General features: G+C 41.2%; 1 protein-coding gene and 1 long non-coding RNA gene across 10 annotated transcripts in view, besides 3 other annotated features; one reads left to right on the plus strand and one right to left on the minus strand.

Annotated features, from left to right (window-relative positions):
* HMGN3 (high mobility group nucleosomal binding domain 3) overlaps nt 1–2,037 on the minus strand; it is a 33,438-nt gene extending 31,401 nt beyond the window's left edge. For all 9 annotated transcript variants that reach the window (NM_001318885.2, NM_001318888.2, NM_138730.3 and 6 more), the window contains exon 1: nt 1,901–2,037. In NM_001318885.2, coding sequence (NP_001305814.1) covers nt 1,901–1,915 — 15 coding nt within the window. In that variant the 5' untranslated portion in view covers nt 1,916–2,037. The remainder of the gene's footprint in view (nt 1–1,900) is intronic.
* Nucleotides 575–1,365: an enhancer, noted in NCBI's record as "H3K27ac hESC enhancer chr6:79942937-79943727 (GRCh37/hg19 assembly coordinates)". NCBI's record gives its function as "activates a minimal SCP1, AML or CMV promoter by ChIP-STARR-seq in primed H9 embryonic stem cells {active_cell/tissue: H9 hESC(primed)}" and the evidence as "EXISTENCE:reporter gene assay evidence [ECO:0000049][PMID:30033119]".
* On the plus strand, nt 1,029–4,155 carry HMGN3-AS1 (HMGN3 antisense RNA 1). Its single transcript, NR_040671.1, has 2 exons — nt 1,029–1,282; nt 1,417–4,155. It is a non-coding gene; the product is annotated as an HMGN3 antisense RNA 1 (long non-coding RNA).
* Nucleotides 1,313–1,362: a silencer, noted in NCBI's record as "silent region_17348". NCBI's record gives its function as "represses an Ori minimal core promoter by ATAC-STARR-seq in GM12878 lymphoblastoid cells {active_cell/tissue: GM12878}" and the evidence as "EXISTENCE:reporter gene assay evidence [ECO:0000049][PMID:35858748]".
* Nucleotides 1,366–2,155: an enhancer, noted in NCBI's record as "H3K27ac hESC enhancer chr6:79943728-79944517 (GRCh37/hg19 assembly coordinates)". NCBI's record gives its function as "activates a minimal SCP1, AML or CMV promoter by ChIP-STARR-seq in naive H9 embryonic stem cells {active_cell/tissue: H9 hESC(naive)}" and the evidence as "EXISTENCE:reporter gene assay evidence [ECO:0000049][PMID:30033119]".

Below are 9,797 nucleotides of genomic sequence, written 5' to 3' on the forward strand. Positions count from 1 at the left end.
GGAAGTAAGAATAATGGTTTCAGCAGCTCTGGCCCTTGAATAAACAGCAAGGAAGGGTTCCATCGTCAGGGTCCATTATACATAAAGTGTGCACACCTAACCTACTGTTTATGTAAACAATGGTTATAATTCCCAGGAAAAAAAGATGGCCTCCAGCTCACTTACTCTGTAACCCGTATCTTGATGATTAGTTCCTTTGTCTCTACTAGAATTTCCAATCCATCATTAACCCTCAGTCAAAATGCTGAAAATGGTGACATCACTTAATATCCTAATTCTAGTAAAACAGGGCTAGAAAATACCTTCATAAAATTAAGTTTAAATAATAAATCTCAAGTATTAGTGCTCTTAATATGCCATCTGTCTTCTTAAACTGGGAGTACCTTTGGATTTCCTTAATTCCTCTTGACCCACCCTTTCGTAAGTGAGTACGAAATGGGTGAGAATAAGACTTTGGCATCTATAGCATCTGATTAAATCTTTACTAGTAGTTATTGGTTGGTGAGATGCAGGACAATTTATGTCTTTAAGTCCCAGCTGAATGGGGGTAACACCGCTCAAGCTGTTTTCAGGATTAAATGAGATAATGCAAGTCAAATTCTGCACAGCGTGAGGGACACAGTATGTGCACAACAAACTCTAAGACTTTTAAACACTTTCAATTATTTTTAAAAAGTGGGGTAGGAGACAAGTTTCTACCCAATTTTTAGTAATAACATATAAGAAGGGGAAAGCTTTTGAATTTTTAAAACTTCAGTATTTTAAAATAATGCAGTCACTCTCACACACAAATTAGTCCATGGTCTTTGATAAAGCAAGACATTAGGTGTAATTTTGCTTCAAATTTAATACCCACACTCGTTGACACTGTTGGAAACACTGAGGCTGGCGGTGGGAGGGTGCAAAGCACTTGCTTAGGAACCAGCTGAGAAATCCTCACTGATTTCTCAGGGAGGAGGAAACCTTTCCCTTCCCTCCCCGGGACAAGTCGAAGCCCCACCCCGAGGGAGATTTGTGTCCCTGAATGTAGTAGTTGGTGTCCGGGGCCTGCGCAGAAGAGGACAGTCCGCAAGGGGCGGAAGACAAGACAAAAATGACTCCAGTTCGCTAGACGCGCAGAGGGGCGGATAGCGCGCGGACCCCGCCTTCCCCAACCGAGTGTGGGTTCCAGTCGCTGGGGAGGACCTGGTGGCCCCCTGACCTTGGACGAGCCATATTGGACGCCCCGGCGCCGTCCCGTCTTCCACGCTGCCAACTCCACCGCTCCCGCCCCGAACTGCGGGTAGGTCCAGGCCGCCAGGCCCCGCCTCGCCGGCCCCAGCCCTGATTGACACTGGAGTTGGTACATACGGGTCTGCAGCGGAGGCGAGCAGGAGGGTGAGCGCTATTTTAAACATGGCTTTCTCTTTCCCTTAGCCTAGGAGCCACCGCAGCGCACCCAGCCCGCGAGTACAGCCGCATGGGAATAATCCCAACATTTGCCTGATTTATTTTCTTCCCTCTCCTTACGCTTGTACTTGTTTTTCTCCTCTCGCTGTTTTCCCTTCACACTAATTCGCAACCTGGCAGTTTGCAAAGAGGAAACTCCCTTTCGGAATGGAAAGCCGCTTTTGCTTCTTGTTGTTGGGGGTGGAAAACATTCCAGCGAGAATGAGTTCAAAAAGAAGGGAAACCGCGTCACTGGAGAGAAAGTAACATTAAGAGATCGATGAGGACGGAGTGGGTAGGGGGGACAGAGAGAGGAACGTCTGCAACAGGCATCTAAAAACAAGCGTGGAGGAGCAAAGATTCCCAATCCCCGGGTTACTACCGCGCGCGTTCTGCGCGAGCCATTGCAATGCCAGCATTTACTGTAAGCAGAATTTGAAGGCTTTTGAAATCTTTTTTTGGTAAGACTTACCTTTCTCTTCGGCATAATGACTATGTCGGTGAAGCAAAAAGTAAAGCAACGGACTGGAACTGCTGGCGCCGCCGCTGGATGCTGCCTCTGCCTCTGCAGCTGCTCACGCGCAGGGCACGACGTAGCCCGGCCTCTTCGACCTGCACCTCCGCGGCTCCCTCTGGGGGCCCTCTGCTCGCCTCCCTGCTGCTCCAATGAGGAGCCCCGCCAGCCGGCCGCGAGGCCCCATTGGCTGAGGCAACGTTCTAAATTCCACGAGGGCACGCCCACCTCCGCGCGCGGTACGCGCTGTTGTAGTTTCCACTTCACCGAAAAAAATCTGCCTGGCGACTGAGCATGCCCAGTTCAACTAGTAGCCTCCAGGCCACACAATCCTGAAGTTTCATTGTTTCGCTGCTCTCTCTTTGAGATTGTAAGAATAAGAACAGTGTGTGTCTTCATAGGAAGGAAAAAGAGTAAGAATGAATACGTAAACTTTATAATGTAAATATATACACAGCAGGTACCTTATTCATTTCCTACCCATAAAGGCTTTTAATGAATGTTACATGGTGGGAATCTGTAAAGCGTGGGAAGGTACTCTGTACTGGAAGAGCGTGGCAACTTCTAAAGGCCTCAGTTTCCCCCCCTAGATATATAGTGACAACAGTCCCTAAAATCACTTAGCTCTAATTTTCTGAAATCTGTGATTATAAATCACTCACTAATTCAGCTAACTTCAAACTAGATGTGAAGACGAATAGGACATGTTTGTTACGGAAATTAGGAAAAGAAAGAACAAGGCAAAAACTGATTATTTTATATTTGAGACATATATTTGAATGACACCCGTCATGTTACACTTTATGCGTAATATTTCTCAAAGTTCTGCAAGGCATAAAATGAGCATTGCAAAAATATTTCTGAATTCATTTTATGAGACCAGATTTACTCTGATACCAAAACCAGTGAAAGACTTCAAAAGAGAGTTACAGACCAATATCACTCATAAACATAGACACAAAAGTCGTGAACAAAATTTTAGTAAATGAAACTCAACAACATTTAAAGGGACAATACATCATGACCTGTGGGGCTTATCTTGGGAATGCAAAGCTGCTTTTTTAATATCTGAGAATCAATCAATGTAATTGGCAGGATTAATAGAATAAAGGGGGAAAAACAATCCTTTCAGCAGATGCAGGAAAAGCGCTAGTGAATGGGTAAGCAAATTGTGATGAGCACATGCAGTGGAATACTATTCAGCAATAAAAAACAATAAAAAATTTTCCTACATGGATGAATATCAAAAACAAAGTGCTGTACGAAAGAAGTCAAATACAAAAGACCACACTGAATGATTGCATTCATATGAAATTATAGAAAAAGCAAAATTGGGCAAAGTTAGTTTCAGAATCATCTTAGCAGGCAAAGCTCACATCATAGGAAAATGTGTTGAAGCCTTACATTACAAATATGGCCAAATCCACTTTGGTAACACAGAGGCTGCAAATATGTATTAAAAATATCATGTATTAAATATGTATTAAAAAAGCAATGAAGTTTAATATTTCACTTTTTCTTTAGTAATTTTCAGAATACATTAATTGATCTAGTACTCTCCAGAGGTGGTTGATTACTTTCTTTTTTGGAACATCTTTATGAACTCATGGATTTTTACATATTTGGTGTGCATCAGTGTATTGCTATCATTATTATTACCTTTTTAATGCTCCTATTACCACATCTTTAGCCAATGCATACCCTTTCAAATTAGTGCTTGTGTCCTTTTGACATGATCTTAATCATTTTTGATAGATTCCCTGTTCTTGGGCATTCAGTGAATGACAATAGTATACTGAAACGAATTAAGATAAAAACCAATTGCTTAGAGCTAGATAAAAATTTACAAGTTAATAATTTTATCATTAAAATAATATTTATAATGAAGATGTCTTTCAAGATATTAATTTGCCAAATACTTGATAGTTAAATAAAGAAAAAGTCAGTGAAAACATTTTTAGTAAGATATGTGTGAGAAGGATACTGAGTAGCACTTGCAATCTGGACTGGATGGCTATTTTTCTTCATGGAGATGGAAAGGTGCCACAACAAAGGTAGTGCTAAGGTGAATATTTCTCCTCTGTGATGAAAAATAACTCACAAAATTGGCTTCTTTGTTAATTTTTTTTCAAAACCAAACACTCAGATCATCAACAGCAAACAAAATTGTGAATGTTTTTACTGCACACAATAAAAATGCTACGATGAAATTGAAGCTTGCTTGTTGGATGAAGAAAGCTGATTGTGAGGACCTCGAGTTCTTGGAATCTTTAGTTCATTTACAAGTTATGAAAATAACAGCTTCGGTTGAAAAACAACAGCATTGCTTATCTTTCCTTTGATGTAGATTGCACCTGGCTGAGCACTACTCTAGGAAATGAAGTGTTCTCCCTTGTACCTTTAGTAGCCTTCAAGATCTGGGAAAGTCAGTGCAAACCTCTACTGGTGGCCCTGGAGGTAAGAAGAGTAGGCAAAGAGAATGATTTAGCAGGTAGCTAGAATTCTAGGTTAAGAGATAAAGACATCTGGGCAGAAATGAGGGTGTCACATAGAAGACAGTGAGGAGGTCAAGCTGGTAAGAAGTACAGACTCATTTGTTTATCAATATATTCCACTGAGCATTTCTACTACTTTGGAATATCAGCCTCTAAGACAGTAAAAGTAGGATGTATATACTATCTTAGCTAAGGTAGACCTGGATAAATTAACAGAGTTACTGACTGAGACAGAAAGAAAAAAAATAGTGAACAAACTTGTTTTCCAATTCCAGCTCCTCTCCTCTTTTGTCCTACTCAAAACTGTTGGAACTGTACACCTACTTCACATTTTTCAATCAGCAGGGCAAAACCATTTATAGTGTCATGACTATCATTAAGGAAAAGAAAGAGACAGAGACATTGACAGACACACACACGCAAACACACACACAGAGAGAGAGAGAGAGAGAGGGAGAAGGGAGAAGGGAAGGCTAAGAAAAGCAAAGAAAGGGCCAAGCATAGAAAATAGCAGAGTATATATGGTAAAGGTAAGTAATGTTTCATAAGATAATTGTTTCTATTTTCCATATGTGCTCATATAAACACATACACAACACAGATATGTATGTGTGTATGTTGGATTGTGACATGAAATATATTTTTAGTATGGTCTTGGTCAAAAAAATTGAATGCCACTGCTAATGAATGTTGTGGATCTTTGACATTCCGAAAAAAAAATGCTTAATATTAAAATTTTTTTTTTAGAGGTAAGATCTCATTCTGTTGCCCAGGCTGGCATGCAGTGGCACAATCATAGCTCACTGCACGTCAGACTGCTGGGCTGAAGAGATCCTCCTGCCTCAGCCTCCTGAGTAGTTATATAGGTGCAAGCCACCACACCAGGCTTGAGAGGAAGTTTTCAAGGGAAAGAATGACTTGCAGATCACCTCCTTCTTGAACTGTCCCTCTTTTCCTCTTTCAGGCAGACACAGGCAGGGTCCCTTAGGCTTTTGCTGTAAGTAATGACAAATTACTGGAGAAGTCAGATCCAGAATGTACATATTGTTGCTTTTGATAGTTGCAACTGTACACCTACTTTGCATTTTTCAGACAGCAGGGCAAAACAAATGATAGTCATGACTATCATTAAGGCAAAGAAAGAGACAGAGACATTGGCAGACAGACACACACACACACACACACACACACAGAGAGAGAGAGAGAGAGAGACAGACAGAGGGAGAAAGGAAGAAAGGGGAAAAGTGAAAATGATACTGTGTTGCTTCTGATAGTTTGTAATTCCAGATTAAGTTACTAATCTTCCATAAATAGGTCAAAAAATACACAGTGAAGAATTCAGGTGTGTAACAAAACAACATCAAAAACAACAAATAAGAGGTGGCAAAAGAATATTTTGTTTGTATTTTCCAGTCAAGTCTCTACTTTGATTGGGTGCTAACTTTTGAAGAGACCAAGGTTAGTTTTTACAAAGCAACAATAAGAGTCCAAGAACTAACGGTCCCAAATCAAATGAGCTGCCTGATATTAGTGCAGATCCCTAGGCCCCAGTCCCAAGGTATTGAATGGCTAGGCTTGGAAATCTGCATTTTCAAACAAGCTTTTCATGTGTTGCTTACACTATAATTCGGGGACTAGAGTATTTAATAGACTAGGCCCTTGCTCTCAACAAATATTTGCTGAATGCCGGTACTTGGATTCTGATGACAGGTATCTATAAAAGCCTGTGGAGTTCTCAACATACTTCCAGAGCAGGAGCGTAATTCTGTGGGTGAAACTCGCCCCACAGTCCTCACCTCATGCTTTTGCTCCATCTCAGTTTTGCTGGGCACAACCTGTTTATTTCACTTTCTTTCTCTTCTGTAGTTGCAAGGAACCTGAAGAGTGATTAAAAACTGCACACATCCAGATACCTAGAAAAGTGTCTTCTTCTTCCCAGGCAGCCCCTCTAGGCAGCTCCTTGGGCCCCTGGGAGATGAAAATCCCTGATCCCAAATCCTCAAAGGGAACTTACCTTGGCCAAAGCCCATAAGCCACACCCTTTCAAGGCTAAATGTCAATGATTGCATAAGCATACTTCACAACTGCATTAACAGCAAGAGGAACCAGGGCATTCTGTGACCTTCCAAGGAACCCACTCTTTGTTTTCCCAACCTTCAATCAAATTTAATATTTGTGCAGATTCTTTACCCCAGGTATGTTTTACACAGTTTTTCCACCCCTGGTACTTTTCAGGTTCAATCTCTGTGATATTTACCTCTCCTTCTTGCTCCTGCTGCTTAAACTCACAGGAGTGTGATTAATTTGCTCTTTTTAGCACCCAAATGACTATTTGGGAATGAATTAGATATGCTCAGTAGCTAGAACCAGGGATTGGGATACATTGGTTTAGCCATTCCTTTTTGTCAGATTGTTAGCATGGCTGGTGCCAAGAGCCATCCAGGCTCAAGGAGGTGAGAAAGTTAAGGGAAGGAAATCCCCAAAGTTCATGGTGAGGACACAGCAAAATAAGGACTCCATCCCATCCCCTTAGGTAAAAAGCCACAAGCTGCAAGGTGCCAAAGACCAATTAGTAGTTGTTGCAGAGCTCTCCGACTGAATTGCACATTCTTGTAAACTACTGTCAGTGCCAGTACACTCTCAAATGGGACCACACCCTTTTCTTTAAGCTAGTGATTTTGACTACCTATTTTTGGTGTCTTCTGCATTTCCTTCAAATCTCAGAATCCCTGGGAGCTTGTAAGGAACATTTAGTAACCCCATCCCCGTCGCTACCCTCAATGGTCCTGCCTTTCGGAGATATCATACCATTTTCCTTTTCTCAATGAAAGCAAGAAAATGCTGGTTTGGGGAAATGAGAGTCGAATGAATCATTCTGAAAAATACCATAAAGCAACTGGAGATGATTTTCAGGTTAGCTTGGTTAATAACTCTTGTAATTCTCAAGCACTAAGAAAGAGTTAGCCGATAAAATGAGTTTGGCCAGGTCAGAATGAATTCTAGCCACCAGGTCAGAATGAATTCTAGCCACAAGGCAATAAAGTTTTGCCCAGCAGTGGAAAACTAGCCTGCAAATGTGCCATAATCTTCAAGGCTGCTTATCTGCATAAGGCTTTTGTTGTTTTTAAAACACAGAATTGTGCTACTCCCACAAAAAAACTCTCATCCTTTTCTACCTTCTCATTCCCACTCCCACTTCTGCTGTCTGTAATCTTAAGCAAATGGGTTGTTTTTTTCTTTTTTTTTCTCCTAAATAATCCAATTTACCTCTTAACATGTCAAAAAAATTGTTTTAACCATTTTAAAAATAAATGTTTATCAAAAAGTTTGGAATTTGCAGTCATAGGCATGAATTCAAATCTCAAGCTATTGAGCTACCATCACATTACTTAACCTCTTTGAACCCTGGTTTCCTTATTATAAAATGAGAAAAAGAATGTCTATTCAAGGCAGATACCACTAGTTACCTGCCCAATATTCACACTAGCTTTCTTCCTACTAACAGAATTCTGATTTTGGCAATAGGCCTGGTCAAAACAAAACAAAACATAACAAAGCAATCTTTAGTTCCTCCAGCTCCCTGGCAGATAGAGGTTGCTATGTGACACCTCTGGGGCTAATGAAATACATGAACACACAGTCATAAGGTGATTGTGTAAGCAACACCAAATAACAGGACAAACCTAGCCGGGTAGCTAGCTGCCTTGTGCCTTTGTTCTTCCTCTCCTTCCATCCTGGAAGTTGCTAACAATGTCTGGAAGTAGAACAGCCATCTATGTCCAAAGAGAGAAGGGCCACAGTTCATGATGAAAGAGCAGAAAGGCAGGACTTGAGGTCTCTGCAGTGGCCCCAGATTGTCCAGCTGTAGTCTACTGTTAATGTTTGGAAAATAAACACCATGTTTGATCAAGGCACTTTAGGTGGATGTCTGTGATGTGCAGCTGAATACTATCCCTAACTGATACACTGTTTCATGGAACTGGTGTGAAAATTGAAGATGTTAAACCACCAAACTATGGGAATGTGCATATCCCTGAAGGATGATGCTTAACATATTTCATTTGAAGCATGTATATTATACTCCCCCTAAAATGATAAAAGAGAACACAGAAAATTTTTAACTTTTCCTGAATCCCTAAGGGCCTGATTATGAACACTTAGCATAAACCTCTTAAAATTACTTTAAAGTAGGCAGGGATAAACATGATTAAAAGAAGTATTTTATTGTTGCTATAGAACGGGGTGCTCCATAATATGGCCTATTGCTGTGTTTTACCGATGCAAATGCTGGATTGTTGCTCAACTCCATCTCAGTTTTAGTGTGACTCCCTACACTCTAGATGCTGGAGTCCACACTACAGCTGGGGTTCTGATGTAATTTGCATTTGCCTAATTAGAAGCATGAGGTATAGACAGTGGAGGTTAGGAAGAGGCCACACTTTTGCTACATCTGCTGTGTCTGCTGCTTTTTTTCCTAAAACAACATCAGCAAAGATCCCAGGCACCAGCATTGTGGATTCAGAGAGGCATGTCTCCCTGCATTCACTCTGTAGGCATAGACTGTAGCGGTGAGGTGTGGTCTGAAACTGGCAGAGACAGGGGCTTTATGATTGAGAAAGTGTTTTTATTCTTATAGAGTCCCGATACTAGTGGATTCCTGCTTGCAAAAGAGACACAGCTCCTTTGACGACCTTGTTCTGAGTGTGACTTTGGGAGACTTTTCTGAGAGTTCAACCTGCAGTCTATCTCTTTAGTCTTCTGAGCTATCCCATAGTCTATTGAATCTTTGAAACCTTTTCTCCTTAAATTAGGTAGAGTGGGTTCTGTTCTCTACAACTGAATCCAGAACTATGGAGCTTCCTTTAGTGTTGCTTACCAAATATTTCCAGCTTTCAGAGACATACTTGGCTGGGCTCAATGGCTCATGCTTGTAATCCCAGCACTTTGGGAGGCCAAGGCAGGTGGATTGCTTGATCCCAGGAATTCGAGACCAACCTGGGCAACATGGTGAAACCCTATCTCTACCAAAAATAAAAAACGCACAAATATTAACCTGGCATGGTGGCATGTGCCTATAGTCCCAGCTACTCAGGAGGCTGAGGTGGGAGAATTGCTTGAGCCAGAGAGGTTGTGGAGGTTGCAGTGAGATGAGATTGTGCCATTGCACTCCAACTTGGGTGACAGAGCCTGACCCTGTCTCAAAAAACGAAACAAAACGAAACAAAACAAAGCAAAACAAAAAACAAAGAACAACAACAACAAAAACAAAAAAGAGACACACTCTCACTGGAGCTGATTATGGAAACAGATATTGATATGGAGATTGCCCATGTGTTTCTTTCAGTGATCACAGTGAACAG

Source organism: Homo sapiens, chromosome 6, assembly GCF_000001405.40.
Source record: "Homo sapiens chromosome 6, GRCh38.p14 Primary Assembly".
NCBI classification, from domain to species: domain Eukaryota; kingdom Metazoa; phylum Chordata; class Mammalia; order Primates; family Hominidae; genus Homo; species Homo sapiens.